This window comes from Homo sapiens, chromosome 9 (genome assembly GCF_000001405.40).
Source record: "Homo sapiens chromosome 9, GRCh38.p14 Primary Assembly".
NCBI lineage: Eukaryota > Metazoa > Chordata > Mammalia > Primates > Hominidae > Homo > Homo sapiens.
The window spans coordinates 100,350,445-100,376,037 of NC_000009.12; the positions used below are offsets into that span (position 1 = coordinate 100,350,445).

General features: G+C 40.9%; 1 protein-coding gene and 1 long non-coding RNA gene across 13 annotated transcripts in view, besides 5 other annotated features; one reads left to right on the plus strand and one right to left on the minus strand.

Annotated features, from left to right (window-relative positions):
• Positions 1–2,498, minus strand: part of TEX10 (testis expressed 10) — a 50,859-nt gene extending 48,361 nt beyond the window's left edge. For 4 of the 5 annotated variants that reach the window (XM_011518798.3, NM_017746.4, XM_047423523.1 and 1 more), the window contains exon 1: positions 2,328–2,498. Coding sequence is in view for 1 of the 5 variants with exons in the window: in NM_001161584.2 (NP_001155056.1) it covers positions 1,975–1,977 (3 nt within the window). In the remaining 4 variants the exon portion in view is untranslated. Of the gene's footprint in view, positions 1–1,974; positions 2,128–2,327 lie in introns of those variants that run through there. The other variant, NM_001161584.2, reaches the window with a different exon arrangement.
• Positions 1,737–1,786: an enhancer, noted in NCBI's record as "active region_28723". NCBI's record gives its function as "activates an Ori minimal core promoter by ATAC-STARR-seq in GM12878 lymphoblastoid cells {active_cell/tissue: GM12878}" and the evidence as "EXISTENCE:reporter gene assay evidence [ECO:0000049][PMID:35858748]".
• Positions 2,127–2,676: a silencer, noted in NCBI's record as "silent region_20133". NCBI's record gives its function as "represses an Ori minimal core promoter by ATAC-STARR-seq in GM12878 lymphoblastoid cells {active_cell/tissue: GM12878}" and the evidence as "EXISTENCE:reporter gene assay evidence [ECO:0000049][PMID:35858748]".
• Positions 2,127–2,825: a biological region, named in NCBI's record as "H3K27ac hESC enhancer GRCh37_chr9:103114917-103115551".
• Positions 2,191–2,825: an enhancer, noted in NCBI's record as "H3K27ac hESC enhancer chr9:103114917-103115551 (GRCh37/hg19 assembly coordinates)". NCBI's record gives its function as "activates a minimal SCP1, AML or CMV promoter by ChIP-STARR-seq in naive H9 embryonic stem cells {active_cell/tissue: H9 hESC(naive)}" and the evidence as "EXISTENCE:reporter gene assay evidence [ECO:0000049][PMID:30033119]".
• The window catches only part of LOC105376177 (uncharacterized), a 41,149-nt gene continuing 18,161 nt past the window's right edge, over positions 2,606–25,593 (plus strand). For 6 of the 8 annotated variants that reach the window (NR_188638.1, NR_188642.1, NR_188637.1 and 3 more), the window contains exons 1-2: positions 2,606–3,137; positions 3,553–3,651. This is a non-coding gene — a long non-coding RNA (uncharacterized LOC105376177). The remainder of the gene's footprint in view (positions 3,138–3,552; positions 3,652–25,593) is intronic. The other 2 variants (NR_188643.1, NR_188640.1) reach the window with 2 other exon arrangements.
• Positions 18,890–19,082: a silencer, noted in NCBI's record as "fragment chr9:103131616-103131808 (GRCh37/hg19 assembly coordinates)". NCBI's record gives its function as "represses an EF-1alpha promoter that drives an FKBP-Casp9 reporter gene in an ReSE screen in K562 erythroleukemia cells {active_cell/tissue: K562}" and the evidence as "EXISTENCE:reporter gene assay evidence [ECO:0000049][PMID:32094911]".

The following is a 25,593-nucleotide window of genomic DNA, read 5'->3' on the forward strand; positions in this document are numbered from 1 at the left end:
CCCCATCCATCCTCTCCAGCTTTATCTTCCCACAAGCTAATCTCTATCTAAAACAATAGCCTCTTCTACCTGGAACCAGCTAAATTCTTCTTGAAGCCTTTTCCACACCTGAGAACAATACTGTACACCACTTGAATAGGGTAAGTACCTCTGGAATATATAAAACTTCTGCTAATCTCCTGGTTTATCATAATTATCCTGTGCCTGGCCATAAAAAGTGACAATGCTACACATGAGGGTATAAAAAAATGGGTAAAACGAAAGTTTCCTTTATTACAATATTAATAAAATGGCCAGTGCAATACTGAACAGCTCAAGTTCAAGGAATTCAGAAGCCAATCAGCTATGACAATATATCCAAATTTACTTAATTACAGGGTTATATTAGATCGCCATGAGGTAGGATTTCCCACAGGTTAAGAACCAATTCTACAACCAGATTGATTAGGCTTTTATCCAAACTCTGACGCCTTCCAGCTGTACACTGTCCCAATTTCTATCTACAAAATAGGGATAATCATACACAATTGTAAAACACTCAGAACTGTGCCTGGTACATGGTTAAATACGTATGCTCAAAGCATAAACATGTGCGTGTCCCTCAAGTCTCAGGATCAGGACATACCAAGCCCGGTACTAGATGCATTGTGTACCTCAGTATACAATCTGCACAGAACCATGCAAGGTAGGTGGAACTAAACCCATTTTAACAATGTACCTCAGAAAAGTTTGGAAGTCACGCCTTTATCAAGAAGTTGAAAAGGGATTCATTCACAGAACTGAGCTCTGCAAAACCACCTTTAACATACCAGAATTAACCTGAAGACTGGAAGTCTTCGTGGCAAAACAGTTTGGCTTATTTCATTTGTCCCTATTACCAAATTTTCATCTCACCCACACCTCTAGTTACCTTAGTCTTAAAAAACAAAACAAAACAAAAAAAAAAGCTGGGGGTCGGTGGGTGGGTGGGTGGGAGGGAATAAGGCCTAAAAAGAAGGCCATGATACTCACCTGGCCTCTTTTAATACAAAAATGGTTTTCATTAATTAAGCAAGCACACTTTGTGAGCTTTTCCTACAATTTTATTACTAGCTGGTACTAGACACGAAAGTAAATGGTACAGGACATTCAGAAAAATTAACTCCCTTCCTCCTCCACTCCTGTGGGTTCTATTTAGCCATTAACCACCTGATAGATCTTCAACAGTCTACTGTCAACTTCATGCCATATTATCTATCGCTTTGTATTAGTCACATTAATGCTTTCTCTGTTAGGAAAATTAAGAAGGCTGATTGACCTTCCTTGACTTTTCAAACCTAGTAATATTATTACGGGATACAAAGCATTTTCATGCGAAGAACTCTCAAAGTTCTACTAGTAATTGACTTTAACTTATAACAAAGATTTTCATAACACAGCAAATCAAAAAGTCCCACTAAGCCACTTTTACAGTAGCCGGTTTTTAGCAAAAGGTAGGAACGCCAGTCTCAGAGGAGGAGCTCACATCACTAGTCCTTAGGTTTGCGATCCCCAATAGTTTCAAAGCTGAATGTCACACATTCCTACTGTAGGTCTTTTCTAATTCCAACAAAAGGCAGATCCTAGCGTTTTTAGGATTTCAATCGAACTAAATTCCAACTATAAATAGTTTGCCTGCCACCTTCTTACCCTTCCTCATTTCCACCTTCTTTTCCAAAAAAAATCAGAGAGAACGATCGTACTGCACTCGGCCTTTGATAATTTCCTCCCCAAACCCTTAAACTCATGAGTTCCTCCAAACTCCACTGAGGGGCCAACCAGAGGCGACAGACTTCCCAAAAAGCAAATGGCCCAGGCAGGGGCGACCCCAGAAAACTGGTAGTCCCCTTCCGCTCGCTTAACTCTCCCGCCTGGGCGACCAGAGGACGGAACAGGGGACGCCAGCTCATCCCCACTCCGTATTCGGTCCTGCATCCATCCCAGAGGCGAACACACCATGGGTTTTAGGAAACCATCGTTCCTCCTACTCCAAGGGACGCCGGCCAGGACCAGAGTCGGGGAAGTGGGGCCCGATTCACACACTCCGGGCTAAAACTCTCTCGGACCCGAAACCAGGCGAACCCGCCCAGTCACCTGAAGCTCCGCAAACGCCCTAGGGGGTCCCGCCCCCGCAGTGCCGGCCGCACACCCAGGCCCAGCTCGGAGGGACGCCGCGGCCCAGACCCGGGGGACGCAAATCGTGCACGGCCGACCCTGCCCGCTTGGGCCGCGGATCGGGGGGCGACGGCCCCACCACGCTCAGTCCCGCGCCCCGGGAGGACCCGGCCCGACGGGCGACGGCCGCTTACCTGAGGACCCGGCCGCGGCCGGGGCGAGAAGCCCGAGAAGACAAGCGAGGGAGCAGAAGCCCACGGGGCAACAGCGTGCGCCGCCGACCTCAGGCTCTAGCTCCCGGAGCGTGTTTTCAAATAGCCTCGTCCTCACGCGGCCGCGTCTCCTTCCGCCGCCCGGAAATCAGGGCCCCTCCCCCTCCCTGCTGTGCTCACGTGATCGCAGCCCGCAGCCGCGCGCAACCGGGGAGGCGGGAGCGGGAGCGGTAGGCCCCGCCCACAGAGGAGGGTACCCCGCCGGAAGCCCCCTGCTCTGTGGGAACCGGAGGGAGGACAGCGCGAGGTCCCCGGACAAAGCGTGGCGCATAAGTCCGGCCCGTAACTTGGTGGGCAGGCAACTTAGGGGATGTGGGCCTGGTTATAGCTGAGCATGCTTTTCTATTCCTCCCAGACCACAGTTCTTCAGACCTGGAGCCACTTTCAGAGAAGAGTATAAGTTGCACTGAATTGAAAAAGGGAAAAGTTTAGGACTGCAGAAGATGGAATTCCTGGGGACGTTAAACTGGGCTAAGATGGAGCAGATAAGATTTCCTTAATTAGAGCAAGACACACCTAGTATCTAGAGCCTGGAAGTCTTGGTCAAGGATTCTCCCTAACATCTCAGTTTCTCAGCACTAACATTCCTGCTACTAAAATGAAGTGAGAAATTAATTTCTGAAGTTAAGTAAAGAAATAAACTAAAATTCCTAGAAAAGAGGTAAGAAGAATGAGCCTTTGAAAAATGTCTTCACAAAGACTGGCATGATGGCATGGAAGAAAGAGCCCCAGGTAAGGACTTCAGACCTTGATTCAAATTTGTGTCTACACCTCACCAGATAATTAAGACTTAGTAAAGCTAGCGAAGATATTGACCCTCATTATATTGGGTGGGAATTCAAAGGAATGATGTCTAAATCCAGGGAGACCCAAGCACTGGAACTAAAACCATGCCTGTTCCATAATCGGAGATAAAGAGGCAGCGCTAGAAACCCTGACCTCCCTTTGCTGGCAATATGGCCACATCACCACAATCTGCCTGGAATCGACCATAACCATAAATATTTGGGAGTCATTGGCATTATGTGGCATTATATTCTGTTTAAAGCTATGAGACTAGATCAGAAGAGGAAAGATTTATTGCCAACCAGACAAGTCCCTGGAACTCCAAACTTGTATCCAACAGTTTTTTCAATGTTTCCTTCAGATATCCAGTATACATCTCAAGGTCAACTTGTCCAAAACAGAGCTACTGATGATTTTCCCCTTGAAATCTACTCTTCCTACAGCTTATTCATCTCAAATAGTAAGTCTGTCCTTGCAGTTACTCAAGCAGAAACCTTTGGGTTTTTGGTTTGGCCTCTTTGTTCCACACCTCACATCTAATCCATCTGGAGATTGACTCTACCTTTAAAGACATCCTAACTTTCACCAGTTAACACACCTCCCCTGCTACCATTCTGGTCCAAGCCGCTTCTTGATCACTGCAAAAAGCCTGCAAACACATCTTCCTGCTTCCCTTATTGTCCTTCTTCCCCCTACAGTCTGGTATCAGCAGAGCAGCTGTGTGATTATTTTAAGATCTAGGTTAGATCAGATCACTCTTTGGCTCAAAACCCTTTAATGGCTCCCTATTTCACTTCGAGTAAAACCCAGAGTCCTTTCTAGGGCCTTCCCTTAGGCTGTTCTTGCATGGCTATAAAGAAATACCTGAGACTGGGTAATTTACAAAGAAAAGAGGTTTAATTGGCTCATGATTCTGCTGGCTTTACAGGAAGCATTATGTTGGCATCTGCTTGCTTTTGGTGAAGTCTCAGGGAGCTTTCAATCATAGAAGGTGAAGGGGGAACAGGCATGTCACATGTTGAAAGCAGGAGCAAGAGAGAGAGCAAAAGAAAAGAGACAGAGAGAGAGAGAGGTGCCACACATTTTTAAACAGCCAAATCTGATGAGAACTCACTATCACTAAACAAGCACCAAGCCATGAGGGATCCACCCCCATGACCCAAGCATGTCCCACCAGGCCCCACCTCCAGCATTGAGGATTACAACACAACATGAGATTTGAGCAGGGACAAATATCCAAACCATATCAGTTCTCAAGCTCTTCCATATTCTGACACAGTCTCTTACCATCTGAGCACTCCTCCTTCCACTCTCCCCTTTTTTACTCTGCTCCAGTCACACTTGCTTCTTTGCCTTCCTCAAACACCAGTGACACACTCCTGCTTTTGGACCTTTTCTTTAGCTTTTCTGTCTGCCTGAAACACTCTTCCCCAATAAGTCCATGTGGCTAACTCCCTCTCCTCCCGAGTCCACTCAAATATCTTCTCAGGGAGCCCTACCCTGACCACCTCATTTAAAATAACAAATTACCTTCTCCCAGGACTTGCAATTTCCCTTTAGAACATATCACCTTCTGGGAACATCACACTCTGGGGACTGTTGTGGGGTGGGGGGAGGGGGGAGGGATAGCTTTAGGAGATATACCTAATGCTAAATGACGAGTTAATGGGTGCAGCACACCAGCATGGCACATGTATACATATGTAACTAACCTGCACATTGTGCACATGTACCCTAAAACTTAAAGTATAATAATAATAAAATAAAAAAGAACATATCGCCTTCTAATATACCATGTAATTTACTTATTTATCATAATGATTATTTGATTCTGTCCTTCATCCACCACTAATATGTAAGTTTTACATGGGTCGTTTGTTTTATTCCCTGGTATATTCCAAGTAGCTAGAGCAGTGTCTGGCACCTAGTAGGCCCTCAATAAATATTTGTTGAATAAATGTCTAGGAAGCACCTGCTACATAGCGGTGCTGAGCAAACACTAGCTCTTATTGTTTCCCTACTTCACTGCAGCACAGGGTTTATAGACTCAGCCCATTAAGTGGGTCTGGTGGCTATGTAGCTGACAGAAGTACTCCTGGCCTGACTAAAGGAAGCAGCAGATCTTCAGCAACAGTCAACTGTTGTCATGAGGAAATGCAAATCTTCTCATTTTTCAAGCAAACCGGAAATCCAGTGTTTAAGTCCATTCTCTGCTGCTATAACAGAATACCACAGACTGGGTAGTTTACAATGAACAGAAGACTATTTGGCTAATGCTTCTGCAGCTGAGAAGTCCAAGAGTGTGGCATCAGCATCTGGTGAGGGTCATCCATACCATGACAGAAGGGTAGAAGGCAGAAGTGAGCTCTAGAGACAGAGAGAACAAATCAGGTTGAATTCATCCTATTTGTCAAGAGCTCACACCCAGGATAACTAACCCACTCCCACAATAACAATTATCTATTCATGAGGGCAGAGCCCTCATAACCTAATCACCTCTTAAAGGTCCGGCTTCTCAATACTGTTAGAGTGGCAATTAAATTTCAAAATGAGTTTTGGAGGGGACATTCAAACCATAACATCCAGAAATGTTTATAAGAAATCTGCTCTTTAAATATTGGCAAGTACATTTTTCCCCCTATTTTCGAAACACTGTGTAGGCCAAACAAAATACTTATTGCCAGTTGCCAGTTTACTGTCTCTGGTTTAGGACATAAAAAGTTTGTACTTGAAGACAGGCTTTTTCCAACTCTTAAGTGATGAACGCAACAATTGTAAGGATTGATCACTTCCCGAGCTTGAAGAGATCTTTGATAAATAACAAGCATGTAATTAATCAAGGTCCTTCACCCATGCCAGAAAAACATTATTTACAACGAACATACATTCTGGAATGTGTAGGACACTCCAATTCCAAAACTCTGTCCAGTTGGCCACATAGGTGCTGTGTTTAGTTTCCGCAGCCATAACAAAGTACCACAAACTGGGTAGCTTAAATAACAGAAATTTCTGGATCTCAGTTCTGGAGACCATGGAATCTGAAATCAAGGTATCAGCAGGATTGGTTCCTTCTGAGGATTCTGAGGAAGATTCTGTTCCACACGTCTCTCCTAGCTTCTGGTAGCTTTAGACATTCCTTGTAGACATTCCTTCTGTGTCTTCACATTGTCTTCCCTTGTGTATATCTGTCTGTGTTCAAATTTACTCCTTTTATAAGAACCCCAGTCATAGGGGCTGCCCTAATTACCTCATTTTAACTTGATCACTTCTCTAAAGACCTTATTTCCAAATAAAGTCACCTGAGGTACTAGGGGGTAGAACTTCAATATATCTTTTTGGAGGACACAATTCAACCCATATGAGCCACCAAGATCTGTGTCCAGAAATGTCTGTATTTCATCATCCAAACGCTTTGTCCTTTTTGTCTATGCTCAGACACATCACGATATTCTAGGTTAAGTAACTTCCTTCTACGTAATCTACCCAACCTTTGCAGCTTTCCTTTAAAATGTGTTTCATACTGGGCTTCCAGCATTTGCTTTGGGAATAAGGTATCACTGCTTTAAAAAAAAACCTGAAACGTTGTTAACCTAATAAAAATTGACTTTATAATTTCAAAGCAAACAAAAGCATATACATATTAAACTGGCTCTTACCTTACATTTTAGAGCTACTACTAACACAAAAAGCAGTCTCTTTGAAGAAGCTGAAATGATGAGTTCAAACATGATACTATAACCAGGGGCACATTGTCTAGGAATTGATTGGTATTATATATACAAATGACTTGGCACACAGCCTCAATAGCCCCTCAATAAATGGCAACAGATATCACTACTGATAATGCATCATTGGGCATTATTTGCACTATATGTGCAAAATCAACATTTAGTTGGGCTTCTTAGATAAAGTAACAGAAAACCAGTTCTGACATTAAGTGAAAAGGAATTTATTGAAAGTATATTGAATAACACAGAGAATGGCCAGGGAGGCTACCAGTTCAGGCTTAGAAAAAAGACAGGAAGGAAAAGACCAGCAAGGCCAGGAGTGCAAAGACCATTACACCACAAAATCAGTCTAAGACAAAAGGATTAGAAATGAGGAAGTTAAATTATCTCCATTTGCAGATATAATTGTATATCCAAAAAAAAAAATCAACTGAAAACTTACTATAAACAATAAAAGAATTCAGAAAGGGGCCAGGCACGGTGGCTCACACTGTAATCCCAGCTGTTTTTGTATTTTATTTTTGTTTTTTGTATGTCACCTTTTTTTCTATAAAATTGTTTGGACCATGCAGCAGTGCCAGTCTCTCTCAACCTGTTTTGATTTGGGGAGCTGTGAATTGTTTTTTGTTTAACTTTGTTAAATTTAATCTGTCTAAATTTTGCTTTATTTTTGAAAGCTGGCAAATGAGAATTCCTGATGAAAGCTCTAAGACCTGCTGTGTCTATGTGTCTATATTTCTATAACTCAATATGTGTTACATGTATGTGATAATATTTGGGAAATGAAGCTAGTTTTAAAATAGTTGGTAAAATAAAATAATAATGACTTCAGAATTGTCAGTTCAATATAATTCAGACATTTTCTCCTGGATATATTCATCAGACAGGTTTATAATGTGTCTACTACATGTTTTAAGGTCATAACGTGGCTTCTTTGATTTTTGATACTTATTGGTTTGTCTGTAAGCTTTTGGTTTTGCTTTTGAATCTCTGGATTCTTTTGTTGGGACAGGTAGCTGTGGTAAGGGTTGGGGACATGTTCTTAGCAACTTGACCACCAGTTATAAGGCAGTCAAGCCCACTATAACCACTTCCTACCTGTTCCAGTTTTGCCCCCTGGCTATGTTAGAAGGGGTTGGATCCTCCAGGCATTGTCTTCACAGTTATCTTCTATCCTGAGCCTACCCCTGGTATGTAAGTTCAGGAACCAGATGGGCCCTGCCTTTCATAGCCCTTCTAAGTACCACATGCCTACTTAAGACCGAGGAAAGACGTTAGCGAAGATACCTGTGTCATAGTTTGAGTAATTAAAAATCTTAAAATCCTTGTTAAGTAAAGTAATAGATAATCATAAAATGGCTGAGTCACTTCTAAGTCACTTAAAATATTGAACAGTAATTATTAAACAAATTTAAATTTATGTACTTTGACATCTTATGGTATTTAAAAGCTAAATATATTTAGAACTGGTAAACAAAAATGTGAGAAAACAAATCTTTCTAAAAATTATAAAATGTTTTCATCTATAAACACTGATATAAAACTGCTCAAACTTCCTAAGTTTTCACTAGAAGTTAGGGTTACTAAGATAAGCACTTCTCAACAGAAGACATACACATGGCCAACATCAATAATCATTAGAGAAATGCAAATCAAAACTGCAATGAGATCACATCTCACATCAGTCAGAATGGCTACTACAAAGTAAAAAAATAACAGATGCTGGTGAGGTTGTGGAAAAAAGAGAGTGCTTATAAATTACGGGTGGGAATGTAAATTAGTTCAGCCACTATGGAAAGCAGTTTGCAGATATCTCAAAGAACTTAAAATAGAACTACCATTCAACCTAGCAATCCCATCACTGGGTATATACCCGAAGGGAAATGAATCATTCTACCAAAATGATACATACACACATATGTTCATCACAGTACTATTCACAATAGCAAAGGCATGGAATCAATCTAGATGCCCATCGACAGTGGATTGAATAAAGAAAATGTGGTATATATACATGAAGAAATACTATGCAGCCAGTAAAAAGAATGAAATCATATCCTTTACAGCAACATGGATGCAGCTGGAGACCATTATCATAAGCAAATTAATGCAGGAACAGAAAACTGAATCCTGCACGTACTCACTTATAAGTGGGAGATAAACATTGAGTACACGTGGATACAAAAAGGGGAACAATAGACACTGGGGTTTACTAGAGGGTGGAGGGTGGGAGATTGGAAAACTACCTACTGGGCACCATGCTTACTACCTGGGTGACAAAATGATTTCTACACCAAACCCCAGTGACATGCAATTTACCCATGTAACAAACCTGAACATGTACCCTCTGAAATGAGAAAAGTTGGAAGGAAAAAATAAAAGAAATTAAGGTTACTAAGAGTATACTAATTCTATATACAGAGTGTATAAGGAAAAGCAAGGGCTGGGTGTGGTGGCTCATGCCTGTAATCCCAGCACTTTGGGAGGCTGAAGTGGGAGGATTGCTTGAGCCCAGAAATTCAAGACCAGCCTGAGCAACATGGCAAAAACCTGTCTCTACAAAAAATTCAAAAATTAGCCAGGTGTGGTGGCATGTGCCTGTAGTCCCAGCTATTCCAGAGGCTGAGGTGGGAGGATTGCTTGAGCCTAGAAGGCTGAGGTTACAGTGAACCATGATCATGCCACTACCCTCCAGCCTGGGTGACACAGCAAGACTTTGTCTCAAAAAAAATAATAATAATAAAGGAAAAGATAGATGGGCTTTTAGTGAAAAACTTTGTAAAAACATGAAAATGGCCTTGGATGATGGGTACTACAAAAGCCCAGACTTCACCACTGTACAATTCATCCATGTACCCCAAAACCACTTGTACCCCTAAAGCTATTGAAATAAGAGACATAAAAATGTATGTTTATTGAGAAAAAGATAATTTCATCTCACTTAATAGTTACTTAAAGATTATTTCAAATTAAAAAAATTTAAAAGATATGATAAAGCTAAATATAAAAAGTGAAAACAATTCATTACAATATGTTATAAAAGGTTTGTAAAAATCTTGTGTAGTCAAAAGATGACTGAGATTAGATAATTTGGTTTATAAGGTTTTAGTAAAATTAACTTTAGTATTTATAATACACAAATACAAAAGTAAAATATGGCTTTCTCTTTTAAACAAAAATTTTCATGTAGTATTAATAGATAGTAAAAATTTTTGTTCACCTTATGAGTAAATGACAAAAAAAGACAAGAAGAGAAAAAGAGAGAAAGATTCTGTCTTATGCTATTTCTTAGATCTGTTAATTGTTTGGAAAACTCAGTACCCTCTCAAAGAATAAAGTTTTTGCTTTTTAAAACCTTTTATTGGCCAGGTGCAGTGGCTCATGCCTGTGATCCCAGCACTTTGGGAGGCCAAGGTGGGTGGATCTCGAGGTCAGGAGATCGAGACCATCCTGGCTAATATGGTGAAACCCTGTCTGTACTAAAAATACAAAAAAATTGGCCAGGCATGGTGGCGGGCACCTGTAGTCCCAGCTACTCGGGAGGCTGAGGCGGGAGAATGGCGTGAACCCAGGAGGCGGAGCTTGCAGTGAGCCGAGATTGCTCCACTGCACTCCAGCCTGGGCGACAGCGAGACTCCGTCCCAAAAAAAATAAAAATAAAAAAATAAAAAAAAACTTTTATCATTTTGGCTAAATGAATGACTGTTATTTTACAGTAACCTGTGATCCTATTTGGATTGTTTTAAACCTTTGACCTATTTGATGTTTCTCAAAATCAAATTTTGAATTCAAAATTCAGTCTTTTTGACCTGCAACTAACTTTGAGATACTACAGAGGGCTCTTACAACATCCAAAAGAGAGATAAATGGTTTGATATGTTAAATTATATGAAAAGTATTGTGAAATAAAGAATAAAGTTTAACGTTCTTCAAGTTATATTTTAATAGATATGTTATTAATATATGTTCCAAAATTATATGAGATTCCTAACATTCTGATATGTCTTGATATATTATCAGTCATAATTATAGTTATTATGTTAAATTATTGTAGGCCACAGAAATAACCAAATTTCCTTGTCAGTTGTGTCTTTACAACCATTTGAAGTCATTTCCACAGTTGATTACTTAATTCTGAAACAGTTTCTAAAAATTTTTCAAAAGCAAGTAAAATTCTAGTGTATTGTGTCTTCAAAGAAGTTCATGGAAAAGATAAAAAGGACCCTGACAAAACTTGCTTAAATACAGGTTTCTGATGACTTTAGAACCATATCATTTGGACTGGGTAAGAATTTCCTAAAACTCTTAAGAAAGAGACAGACTGGTTTATAAAACTGATAACCCAACCAGGACAAAAATTAGTTGAATACCAAAAAAATACTTTGCCAGATTTTCATGCTAAAGAAGCTGGTACTGAAATTGTTTAGATATGCAATTTGAATGAACTCCATGATCCACATCACATTACATATGATAACCCATCTAATAAACAATGGTAGGCACCTGAACTAGAAAAGCAAAAATAGAGTTTAAGAAGATGTAAATCCAATGTTAAGCATAGACTCAGAACCTAGATGGCTGCCTAGTTATTCCTGAGTATTTAAAGCTTTCATTATTAAAAGCTGTGCATTCCATGACTCTTAAGGAAGAAATAAGATGATGCAAATATGCAAATAGAATATATATTGACAGCCGGGCCCGGTGGCTCAAGCCTGTAATCCCAACACTTTGGGAGGCTGATGCAGGCGGATCACGAGGTCAGGAGTTCAAGACCAGCCTGACCAACATGGTGAAACCTCGTCTCTACCTAAAATACAAAAATTAGCTGGGTGTGGTGGCACACACCTGCAATCCCAGCTACTCAGGAGGCTGAGGCAGGAGAATTGCTTGAACCTGGGAGGTGAGGTTGCAGTAAGCGAAGATCGTGCCACTGCACTCCAGCCTGGGCAACATAGTGGGACTCTGTCTCAAAAAAAAAAAAAAAAAGAAAGAAAGAAAAGAATACACATTGGCATGGTGACTATTCTAAATTGCTAAAATTGTTTATGACCAATGTTTGGTTTCTTAAATTCATAATCCTGGAAAGACAATCAGAATTTCAGGTACATGTTTTCTACCTGATGGGCCATGTAAACAGTTATAGAAGAATTTTACTCACTTTTCATTTTCAAGGCATCTTTTCTAGTTGTTTTTATAAAAGATTTCCCGTGCAAGGGCGCTGATGTTATAACAATAGATAAAAGGTTATTTTAAAAATTTGTTTCCCTCCTGGGTTGTTCCTGAAGAAATCTCCAGCAAAAAACATACTTGTTTCACTGGACAAGTTGTAAGATAGTTAAATAAGGTGTTACAGATACAGTAACATTAGACAAAGCTAACTGAGTTGACTAGATTGCCTTGGTCAAAGATATTAGAGTTTAATGACAATCAGATCTACTTCCAGTGAAAACATAAGTTGACCTCTTACACAATAGTCACTAAAAGGCCTATGCTTCTAATAATAAAACTTCAAATATCTTCTGTTTCTAAATTCTGATATAACTAAATGCTACAAGGTTTTAATGCGCATGTGTTTGGATATTTGTACCCTCCAAATCTCATATCGAAATATGATTCCCAATGTTAGAGGTGGGGCCTGGTGAAAGGTGATTGGATCATGGGGGCGGATCCCTCATGAATGGTTTAGCACAATCTCCTTGGTGATAAGTGAGTTCTTGCTCAGTTAGTTCACATGCAATCTGATTGTTTGAAAGTCTGGGACCTCCCTCTCACCTTGTTCTCCCTTACTCCCTCTGTTGCCGCGTAATATCCTGGCTTCCCACTTTGCCTTCCACAACTGTAAGTTTCCCGAGGTCCTCACCAGAAGCCAAGTAGATGTTGGCATCATGTTTGTACAGCCTGTAGAACCAAGAGCCAATTAAACTACCTTTCTTTAAAAATTACCTAGTCTCAGGTATTCTGTTATAGTAATGCAAATGGATTAATGCAAATGCATTATGCCTAATATGGTTTGGATATGTTTCTCCTCCAAATCTCATGCTAAAATGTAATTCCCAGTTAGAGATGGGCCTGGTAGAAGGTGTTTGAATCATAGGGGTGGATCTCTCATGAATGGTTCTGCACCAGCCCTTTGGTGATAAGTGAGTTCATGCAATATCTGATTGTTTAAAAGTGTGTGACAACACCCCTGCTTGCCCCCACTCTTGCCATGTGATGTGTCTGCTCTGCCTTTGCCTGTCACCATGACTGGAAGATTCCTGAGGCCCTCACCAGAAGCTGATGCTGGCACCACACTTCCTGCTCACCCTGCAGGAACCATGAGTCAATTAAATCTCTTTTCTTTATAAATTACCCAGTTTCAGGTATTCCTTTTCTTTATAGCAACACAAGAACAACCTAACACAATGCCCAAGTGTATTTTCACTAGATAAAGAAAGCTTTTTGTGGTCCACGGACTGAGGGCAATCTAACCCTTCATGGATCTAAAACCCAGAGATTGGGTCTTTTGGAAATGATCAGAGAAAGACTGCCCTTGCCACTCACACTGCAGCAAAACTTTGGAACCTTGAAACTTGGGTTTGTAATCTCACAACTCAGAAAGGCCCCTTCCCACTCTGGGAACTATACACCCATTAGACACCTTAAGGCAAAGCTAACCTTCCAGGTCCAACCCACAGACCCTGACCCAGTGAAAGATAAAAGACATACACTGACACAGATATTTTGCCCGTCAGCACAGCTAAGGGGCTCTGCTGCCTGAGTCCACAGCGTCGGCCTTGATAATTCTCGAAGTTCACGTTTATTTAGTACAGATTTAATGACAAAGGCTTTGAGTTAACACACTTGTGGATAATTAACGTGGTTGTCCTCCCAGGAAAGACCAGACCTATGAATGATCAAAGGTCGGTCTTAGGACCACATGAGTAAACAAGCTCTTTAGGTAAACTCCTTTACATTCCTTTATACCTACTCTAAGCTATTAACTCAAGGTAAGAGGATTAGGCCACTCTCAGCCATAACCTATCTTGAGGCTTTTGCAAAACCTTCCGGCCTTCCAAGAAGGTTTGTGTCTATTTTACAATTTCTCCCACCACCCTGACTGAACTACATCTCCACCTTTTCTGTTTTTAGCATCAGGTTTCGTTGATTAGAGAGTACAGATGTGTGCAGCAACAGGTCTGTCAGGTGCGGTGGTCACTGCTCATATTCTGGCTTTGCATCTTAGAATTAGTAAATAACATAAAACAAACATGAGTATAATTAGCAATATTCTTTTCTAATCAAGGAGTGACCTGTAGTGTTACCTGGCACTTCAGTTCGATGTGTGCCGTTACTAAGGAACCCCACTGGGGGTATGTTAATCCCTCTTAGTTAAGCAGTCACGTTGTTGGAAGCTGGGAAGAGGGTGTTTGTCAAAGTAACAGGGCAGAAGAAAGGCAGATTTAAGAGATGAGCCCAATAGAGTGTAGCAGGTACTGGTTGCAGGCAGAGTGAGAAAATTAAAAAAGGAATAAATTATTTGGTTGTGAATGGTGTTTGTGTTTGGAGCAGGATGCGCTTCACCTTCTGAGTTGTTTTCTTCGGCATCCTGTCTGGGGCCTGTGTTGTCCAAGGAAGCCGCATTGTCCAGGGCTGTGGGTCCTGTAGGGTCATTTTCTTTATTTCTGGTACTGGGTTGGGTCCTAGCCACGCCATGGTATGGTTTGATGCATCGTGCTAAAATCCAAAGAGGACCTGAGGGGGTGTAACACAAGCATATCCTCTTCCCCATGTTAGCAAATCATTTGGACCACACTATTCATTACTATTTACATCCTTCCATAAAACTGTGGGTTTTGTCTTGAGAGGTTTTAGCAAAGTGCTTTTCTATAGCTGATTGAAATTTGTCATCTAAATTTAAAAAATTAAGGGTAAATAAGGCTTGTGCTAGTTGTGTTCCAGGGTCCTTACCCATACTCCCCCTTTTGGTTTTCTGAGCATATTTTTAAGGGTAGAGTGGGCCTGTTCTATGACCTGTCCTTGGGGGTTATACGGGATGCCTGTGGAATGCTGGATGTTCTGTGTGTGATAAAATTGTTGAAATTATGAGCTGGCATAAGCTGGACCATTATCAGTTTTAATTTTTGTGGGCCGCCCCATAAATGCAAAAGTTAAAAGACGATGTTTAATGACATATCCAGTGGACTCTCCAGGAAGAGCGTGTGCACTAATTAGATGAATGTTGGTATCAACGGATACATGTACATATCTTAGTTTTCCAAATTCAGGGACGTGTGTAACATGTTTGCCATAACTGATTAGGTTCTAGTCCTCTAGGGTTAACACCTGTAGAAGAAGGGGACGTGCCTGTGAGCTGGCAATCTGGGCATTGCAGGATAATTTGTTTAGCTAGTCTTTGGGTAAGTTGAAATTGTTTAGTTCAGTTTCTCCAATTTTGGTGGAAAAGTTGATGTGATTGGGTGGCTTGGTCAAGCAGTGATGTCATAACTTTTAGGTCTGCTTGATCATTGCCATAAGCCAATGGGCCAGGCAGTGAACTGTGGGCCTGAATGTGTGTAATAAAAATAGGATTTGTACGTTGATCTCGCAATTGCTGAAGCTGGAGAAAAAGTGCACACAGGATGGGCTCTAGAGTAGACCTAGTTAGGGCTGTCTCAGGTTCTGCAATAAATAGAGTAAGTAGAGTCACTAACAATATTGATGAGCTGCGCAGAAAAAGTTTCCAAGGCCAATATTAAGGCTCCAACCTCAGCTCTCTGAGTGCTAGTAAATCCAGAACAAGTGAGGAAATTATGTGTTCTCCACCAAACAGCCACCTTTCCATGTTTACCAGAGCCGTCGGTAAACAGTGTTAAAGTGTTAGGTATGGGGGATTGAAATTTTTGTAGGCAAAACCATAGAAGTACGAGATAAGAACTGAAGGAGCTTGTCAGCAGTAAGCATATGTTCTAAATGGCCTGTGTAATCAGAGAGTGCTGTCTGAAGATCTAAAGAGAGGGGCAATACTGCTTCAAATGGCTTTTTACTCAAAGGAATTCTTATGACATCAGGGTCATAACTTAGCAACTGATTGCATAGTCTGCGGCCTGAATAGATGACTTTACTGACTAACTGGATATAGGTCGAGTGTGTTTTAATCCTGGTATGTGAGCAAAAAACCCATTCTAGAAAGCGTAGCCCTGGGGCCATCTGTCCTATTAACCCTGTAGGGGAGTGTTTATTAGGGAAAATAAACAATTGGATGGAATATTGGGTGTCTATGCGAACTAGTTGCCTTTGGGAAATAGCTTGTTCTATTTCTTCAATTTCCCTTTGTGCTGCAGGAGTTAAATATCTGGGAGAGTCCAGGGCTGTATTGCCCTTTAAGATACAAAACAGGTTTTGCAACTTATCAATAGATACGCCCAAGGTGGGGCGAAGCCAGTTAATATCGCCCAGTAATTTTTGATAATCATTTAAGGTGTGTAAGTTGCTAGTATTTAATTTAACCTTTTGAGGACTTACTGATTGAGGAAGTTAGTATGTATCCAAGATATTTCCAAGGAGAGGACATTGGTATCTTCTCAGGTGCTATGATTAAACCTCTTAACTGTGTATTCTTTACCACAGAGGCATGTAATTTTAAAAGTACTCACTCCAGGCTGGTCATGGTGGCTCACGCCTGTAATCCCAGCACTTTGGGAGGCCGAGGCGGGCGGATCACGAGGTTAGGAGATCGAGACCATCCTGGCTAAAACGGTGAAACCCTGTCTCTACTAAAAATACAAAAAATTAGGTGGGCGTGGTAGCGGGCGCCTGTAGTCCCAGCTACTCAGGAGGCTGAGGCAGGATAATGGTGTGAACCCAGGAGGTGGAGCTTGCAGTGAGCCGAGATTGTGCCACTGCACTCTAGCCTGGGCGACAGAGCAAGACTCTGTCTCAAAAAAAAAAAAAAAAGTACTCGCTCTGTTGGGGCTGCTAGTAAATATCATCCATAACATGGATAATCTTGCAATTAGGAAATAATTTTCTACTGGGGAGCAAAGCCTGATTTACATGATACTGACACACGGTAGGACTGTTCAGCATTCCTTGAGGAAGCACTCTCCAGTGAAATCAACAAACTGGCCTTTCATTATTGATAGCTGGTATTGTAAATGCAAATTTTTCTCTGTCCTGTTCTGCAAGGGGAATCCTATAAAAACAGTCTTTAAGTCAATAACGATTATAGGCCCATCTTGAGGAATCGCTGCGGGGGAGGGGAGGTCCTGTTGAAGAGGCCCCGTAGACTGCAAATTAGCATTAATAGCACGTAAGTCATGCAAAAGTCTCCATTTACCAGAGTTTTGGGGAATGACGAAAATGGGTGAATTCCAAGGGCTGTTAGATGGTTCTATATAACCGGCTTTTAATTGCTCCTCAGCTAATTCATGGGCTCTATGTAATTTCTCTCCCTTCTAAGGTCACTGTTCTACCCAAATAGGATTTCAAGGGAGCCACGTCAAGGGTAGTGGAGGAATAACAGTGGCCATTATTAGAAAGAGGTTTGCAGTTCACATAATTCATCAAATTCTGCCCTCCAGAGGAGGTACTGACTGGCGTTTAAAGTTGTTTTAGCTAGCACTGACCAGTCCCATGGAGTCATATAGAAGTTGTCTGCTCTGGCCTCAATTAATCCTTTCATTAAATGGGCTAGCGGCTCCGTTATCTCTAATGCTTTTCCTTATCTCTTTATGTACCTGATTGCCTTGTTAATCTTGTATTACCTGGCAGGCTAAGAGCTCCCCTTCTAATGCCGCTTGCCTAAGACAGGGTCCCATAGCTATAGCGTATCCCCTGTCTTTTTTCCAATTTATTGGAAGAGGGGGCTCAGGCAAAACCTCCGTATCCTCTTTGTTATTTTGGCTCAGTGATAGCAGGGCTAAGGGATAAGGAGGTGGTAAAGTAGGTGACTGTTTCTCCTTCCTTCCCTTTTTAGGCTTTTCTGTGTATAACGAGGCCAGAGCTGCCTTAATTAAGGCCCATAACATTAGAGATGTTACTGGGACCTGTTGCCCTTGCGCATGATGTTGTTTAAGATTTCTCTCCACTTGTTCCCAGAACTCTACGTCTAGTGTACCTTCTTCTGGGAACCATGAGTTATGGGATACAACAGTTTGCATTAGGTCCCTTAATTGAGCCTGTGAAACCGAGGCTCCACTAATTTTAAGCAGCTGTTTCAATACTTTTATCTACTGTTGCTGTTGAGCTGATAACTGTTGTCCCATGATGAAACCTAGCCTGAACAATTCCCTCAAACTTGGAAATCCCAAGCAGGTACCAATGACTTACTGATTTACTAACTGTGCAGTCTTCTTCACCTTCGTTTTTGAGGGTTCTCTCACAATTCGTGGCAGCGTTCCTCACATGGGGCACCACCTGCCGGGTCTGACCCACAGACCCTTACCCCGTGACAGATGAAAGATGTACACTGACACAGATATTTTGCCCGTCAGCACGGCTAAGGGGATCTGCTGCCTGAGTCCACAGTGTCAACCTTGATAAGCCGGCGAAGTTCACATTTATTTAGTACAGATTTAATGACAAAGGCTTTGAGTTAACACACTTGTGGATAATTAAGATGGTCACTCTCCCAGGAGAGAGCAGTCCTACAAATGATCAAAGGTCAGCACCACATGAGTAAACAAGCTCTTTAGATAAACTCCTTTACATTCCTTTGTACCTCCTCTCAGCTATTAACTCAAGGTAAGAGGATTAGGCTGCTTTCAGCCATAACGCTATCCTGAGGCTTTTGCAAAACCTTCCAGCCTTCCAAGAAGGTTTGTGTCTATTTTACAATTTCTCCCACCACCCTGACTGAACTCCTACACTAACCAGCAAAGTTTCTCCTCAGAAACAGACAACATCCTAGATGTGGACAACTTTTGCAAGATGACAGATTAATGATCAGGGCTTCTCTACTATCATGAAGCTCTTACCTGTCAGTTTTTTCCTTGCTCACACCTCTATGAACAATAAAACTAGGCTGGGGTCAGTGGCTCATGTCAGTAATCCCAGTGCCTTAGGAGGCCAAGGCAGGAAGATTGCTTGAGGCCAGGAGTTCAAGACCAGACTGGGCAACACAGTGAGACACTGTTTGTGGTCAAATTATGGGTTGACCCCCTACTCCAAATATATGAAAATGATTTGCTAGACTTGGTGGCATGCACCAATAGTCCCAGCTACTTAGCAGGCTGAAGCAAGATGATCACTTGAGCTCAGGAGTTTGAGGCTACAGTGTGCTATAATCACACCACTGCACTCCAGCCTGGGCAACAGAGCAAAACCCTGTCTCAAAAGAAAAACCCACAATAAAACCAGAAAATGAGTCTCTTATGTGCATTTCTGGAGTGTACTTTTATTTGTAGAGGATTTTTTAAGCAACCTTATAAACTTATACATGGACAACATTATGCATTGATAAAAGATAAAGGACCAACATGTGTGAAAAATTTTAATATACATTTGTTGCTTCATAATGAATCAAAAAACAAAATATTGGTCCACTCCTCTTAGCTTGTATCATAGGTTAAAGAGAACATTGGCAGGAGGCCTTCACTCTTTTGGATGGACATCATTTGCTAGGTCTCTTTTTACATGATTTGGAGTAAATGATTCAGTAATTAAACATTTATTCCTCATAATAGACCTTATAGCAAATTCTACTACAAAGTCCATGGTTGCACAACAGACTTCTTTAAATTCTCTTACAGCCATGCGTAGAATGTCAAATGGACCCTGTATTAGTTCGTTCTCACACTGCTATGAAAAAATACATGAGATTGGGTAATTTATAAAGGAAAGAGTTTTAATTGACTCGCAGTTTCATATGGCTGGGGAGACCTCAAAAGCATGGCAGAAGGCTAATGAGGAGCAAATTCTCATCTTACAAGCAGGCAAGAGAGCTTGTACAGGGGATCTCCCATTTATAAAACCATCAGCTCTCATGAGACTTATTCACTACCACAAGAACAATATGGGAGAAACTGCCCCCATGATTCAGTTATCTCCACCTGGCCCCACCCTTGACACATGGGGATTAATACAATTCAAGGTGAGAGTTGAGCGGGGACACAGCCAAACCATATCAGCCCCTCTCTGACTAGGATGACAAAAACTCAAAAAAAAGTATGATCGTGAAGTTGCCATAACGTGTGAATGACATGCTGAAGCCAGAAACCCAAAATGATGGTAACTGAGAGTGGCCCTAAATTTTGGTCTTACCTAAGTGAGAACCTGACCACAAGGGGGAAATATTTTAACAAAATTATGGGAGGCCATTGTTGAGGACTGAGCTCATACACTAGGCGCCAACAGATCAGGCCAAGCCAAAATGAAGTCACTCATACTAAATACAACAGAATTAAACTAAAACTTTAAGGAAACAAATAGATCCTAACATAGAGTAGGTTTTGTTTTCTCCTGAAAACAAGAGATTCCAGCACAAGGAGGTCCCCTCTGCTATAACCCTTATTAAAAAAAAAAGTGGCCATGTGCAGTGTCTCACTCCTATAATCCCAGCACTTTGGGAGACTAAGGCAGGTGGATCACCTGAGGTCAGGAGTTCAAGACCAGTCTGGCCAATATGGCAAAACCCTGTCTCTACTAAGACTCTGAAAATTAGCTGGGCATAGTGGTGGGTGCCTGTAATCCCAGCTACTCAGGAGGCTGAGGCAGGAGAATTGCTTGAATCCAGGAGGTGGAGGTTGCATTGAGCCAAGATCGTGCTACTGCACTCCAGCCTGGGTGACAGAGTGAGACTCTGTCTCAAAAAAAAAAAAAGTAACCTGAAGCTGAAGTCCATGTTCTCATCTTACAAAGCCCACTGTTCTACTGTCTCTCAGAGGGATTTGAGACCAAATAAGAACATCACAATGGGGACAGAGTGACATCAATGCCTAAAAATTTGGTCAACCTCTCAAAATTGAGAAGTTGACTAAGAGGTGAAGAGGTTGACCAAGAGGTGGCAATTGTTAAATTAAATTTAGTCGGAAGCTGCTTCCTTTTAAGTTCAGCCTAAAGGTTTTTCTGTACATATTGAACCGTAACCTAACTGGACATGTAAACAGACTGAAACCGACTTTTGTAACAAGCAGCCAAGTCTCAGCCAATCACAGAAGCCATATTTTATCCACTCATGAATAGCCAACTGTTTAGTATTCAAATAAGTCAAATGCCAAGCTGTAACCAATCCGGCTGTTTTTGTACCTCATTTCTATTTCTGTACGTTGCTTTCCTTTTTCTGTCCATAAATCCTTTCAGGCCATGTGGCAGCATTGGAGTCTCTCTTAACCTATTCTGGTTCAAGGGGCTCCCCAATTCACAAATTATTATTTGCCCGATTAAACTCTGTTAAATTTAATCCATCTAAAGTTACTTCAAACAACAGAAAAAGAAATATAATGAATGACCCTTCCACATACTAAAAGCTGTTTAACCTGACTCATAATAAGAGAAGTGCAAATTAAAAGATATTTTTTCTTACTTTCAAGATTATCAAAATCCAAAAGTTTGACAACATACCCGTATGAAGCTGTGGAGAAATAGTGCTCATACATTATTGGCAGAAGTGTAAATTGGCATAAACGCTACAGAAAATGTATTTGTAAGCATTAACTTGGCTGGGAGTAACAGTAAAACACAAAACAACGAATTTATTTTTCATGTTAAACTTCAAATGTAGGCAGACTAAGCATCAAGTGGCTCCATTCCAGGAAGTCCTCACTCAGACTGCTTCTTTCTTGTTCCATTCTCAAGGTCATCTCATGCTTCAAAATGGCAATTCTAGCTCAAGCCATCATGCCCACATTTCAGTCAGCAAGTAAAAGAAAGGAAAGGAAAAGGAAAATTGAAACCTCCATTTAAGGAGGTTTCTTGGAAGTTGTAAGTAGTAAAAATCTCTGCCACAAATATTATTTTGTGAAATTTTTGTTTCAATTTTATAGAAACGTGTACGTATACTCATTGACAGAGCAGAACATATTCCTTTTTTGTGTGTGACAGAGTCTTGCTCTATTGCCCAGGCTGGAGTGCAATGGCGCGATCTCGGCTCACTGCAACCTTGGCCTCCCGGGTTCAAGCAATTCTCCTGCCTCAGCCTCCCAAGTATCTGGGATTACAGGCACGTGCCACCACACCCAGTTAATTTTTGTATTTTTAGTAGAGACAGGGTTTCACTATGTTGACCAGGCTGGTCTCGAACTCCTGACCTCAGGTGATCTGCCCGCCTTGGCCTCCCAAAGTGCTGGGATTACAGGCATGAGCCACCGCGCCTGGCCGCAAAATATATTCTTACAGTGAATCTCAATTTTTAAAATGTTGAAAACTACTATGCTAAGTGAGGCAGTATAATGTAGTACAAGAACACAGAAAGAAAACAGGCATGATTATTGTCTGAACTCCAGTGTGTCTTAGTTCACTGTCTGCTGCTATAACAGACTGTCATACACTGGGTAATTTGTAATGAACAGAAGTTTACTTGGCTCACAGTTCTTGAGGCTGGGAAGTCCAAGAGCATGGTGCCAACATGTAGCAAAGGTCATTTCATGGTGGAAGGTAAGAAAGGACATGACCCAGAGAAATGGGACTGAACTTATCCTTTTTATCAGTAACACCAAAACAAAAAAAAAATCATAAAGGATGAATTGATAAGTTTGACTATACAAAAATTTTGAAGTTCTATATATCAAAACATATTTTAAAATCAGTAGGGAAAGATGAAGTAGACAATAAATGCTGTTGGGACAATTAATTAGCCATTTAAAGAGAAAAAAAACTGGCATCTGTGAAATTCCCAACATCAAAAGCATGTCTCAACATGCAAAAATCCTAAAGGAAAAGACTGACAAATTCAACAGTAACACTCAAGGCCCAGGCAGGAAGCAGAAACCATACCAGCTATTTTAACAGAGAGGATTTAATATAAAGAATTGTTAACTAGGAACTCAGGGAATAAAAAGGCAGAAAGAGGACACTGAGATATCACAGGGAAAATGCAGAAAGCAGCTACTACCCATAGGACTGGGAGAACAAAGGGAAGGAGTGGGGATTATTAAAATTTAGAAGGTTGGTACCCTATCTCTACTAAAAATACAAAAAATTAGCCGGGTGTGGTGGCAGGTACCTGTAGTCCCAGCTACTCGGGAGGCTGAGGCAGAAGAAAGGTGTGAACCCAGGAGGTGGAGCTTGCAGTGAGCCAAGATTGCGCCACTGCACTCCAGCCTGGGCGAAAGAGCAAAATTCCGTCTCAGAAAAAAAAAAAAAAAAAAAAAACTTAGGAGGTTGGAGATGGGGCTCATTGAACTGGAAGTCAGATCGCTGAAAGCATGGACAGGTGGGGTGCCCATTGGCTGGCATTTCTAAGGGAGTGCAATGAGGATGTTTCTGCAAGAATTGGAAAAACCACAAACTGAAACCCACTGCCACCCTAGAACCAAGTTACTACTGTGTGAAGATTCTTTGCTTAAGTGATGCTGACAGGAACAAAGAAAAGATAAAAAAGATCAAGCCCTGTATTCTTCCTTTATCCACCCAGTCTCCCTCTCCTGCCTCCCACTGGCAGGGCTTAGCAGGGAACCAGCTGGCAAAGCAGAAATGTGGTTTGCAGAGTCCCAGACCCACATCACAAAGCAGAATACAGAAGGGTGGATTTGAAGCTGAATGATGATAGCTTAATAATCAGTACATTAGCTCTATATGAATATAAAACAACTAAATAAAATAACAAAAGCATCAGAAAAATTACATAATGCATGTGTAATTTGGGAGTTGGAAAGACTCTAAAAAAAGGAAACTAAGAAGACGGTAAAGAAAAATATAGACATATTTCACAACATTAAAAAAATTAAAGGTGGTATAGCAAAAGATATCATAAACATAGACAAAAGGCAAAAAATAGAGGAAATACTAGCAATACATATGAAAGATACATAATATGTGTAATATATTAGGAGCTCTTGCAAATTATCAAGAAAATGGCAAAAACAATCTAGTAGAAAAAGGGCAAAAGTTATGAATAACAATTTACAAAAAATCCGAAGGATAATAAACATTGCAAGGCTGCTGGATCTCACTGTTTGTTAGGGAAATATAAATTAATATGTTAGTGAAATATAACTTCTGTGAACACACAAAGCATGGATTAGATATAACACCTACTAGTGGTAGGGATGCAGGAAAAAGTATGCTCTATTTCACTGCTGAAAATGTGAAATAGTGAAGCCATTTAGGAAAGAAGTCTGAAAATACCTTTAAAAATGTTTAAATCATATTATTTCAATCTAGTAATCCCACAGATAAATCCCTGAGAATTTATCCAACAGATATAAAAGCATCAGTCCAAAATATACATTTCTAAAATATTTAGTATAAAAATATTTGAGTAGCAAAACATTGTGAAGGAAATAAACACCAATTAGTAGGGGAATGGTTGAATAAGCTGTGTGATTCATTGACTACAATGAAGCCATTAAAAGGACAGAATTCCATTTATACCAAGTAAATTGAAGAGATTTTTCACAATGTATTTTCAAGTAAGAAAAACAATCTGCAGGAAAGTATATACAATTTAGTCACATTATTATGAAATAAATGAAAATGTAAATATCCATATATGTATTTATTTATTTGTAGGCTATTATATAAACATAGAGAAAAGTGTGAAAAATAACAGGTCAGAAAGTTATTAGTGACCTGGAAGGATCAGAAGGAAAGAAAGAGGAACATGTAAATACCATAAAGAGATGATTAAAAGTCTGGTTAACAGGCTGGGCACGGTGGCTCATGCCTGTAATCCCAGAACTTTGGGAGGCCAAGGTGGGTGGATCACTTGAGGTCAGGATTTTGAGACCAGCCTGGCCAACATGGTGAAACACTGTCTCTACTAAAAATACAAAAATTAGCCAGGTGTGGTGGTGCCTGCCTGTAATCCCAGCTACTCGGGAGGCTGAGGCATGAGGATTGCTTGAACCCAGGAGATAGAGGTTGCAGTGAGCTGAGATTACACCACTGCACTCCAGCCTGGGCAACAGAGTGAGACTCTGTCTCAAAAAATAAATAAATAAATAAATAAATGTCTGGTTAACGAAATGTAAAAGAAAATAATATTTAACACCTTCATGTCAAGCATTGGTTGTTGTTTTTTAAATATTATATTATTAAACAGTTTGAGTCACAAGAATTTGCAAAAATAGTACAGCAAGTTCCCTTGTACTCTTCATCCAGCTTTTCCTAATATGTTACAAAACCATAGTGATGCAGGATTTTTTGCTCCTTAGTTCAGCTAAATCAGGTTTCTTGTCTCATGACCAGGAAAAATTAGGCATGCAGACACATTGAAGGGTGAGGAGGGCGGAATTTTTTAAGTGAAAAGAAAGCTGTCAGCAAAAAGAGAAGGTCACGCCAGCAGGCTCCAACCTCATAGATTGAATACCAGGCTGCCACACATGAGCTGAAGAGGACAGGCTGCTCCCCTGCGTAAGGTGTGAACTCCTGGTGGCTCCACCCCAATCCTCCAGTCCATTGCGGGCATGCCCTGACAAGACCCTGTGCAGGTTCCCTTATCTGCACAAAAATATCTGGTGTAAACATTTGTGCAGCAGGTCGGAGATCTTCCAGAGACCCTTTTTTATCTGCCTAGGCATTTGTCTGCCTCTTGC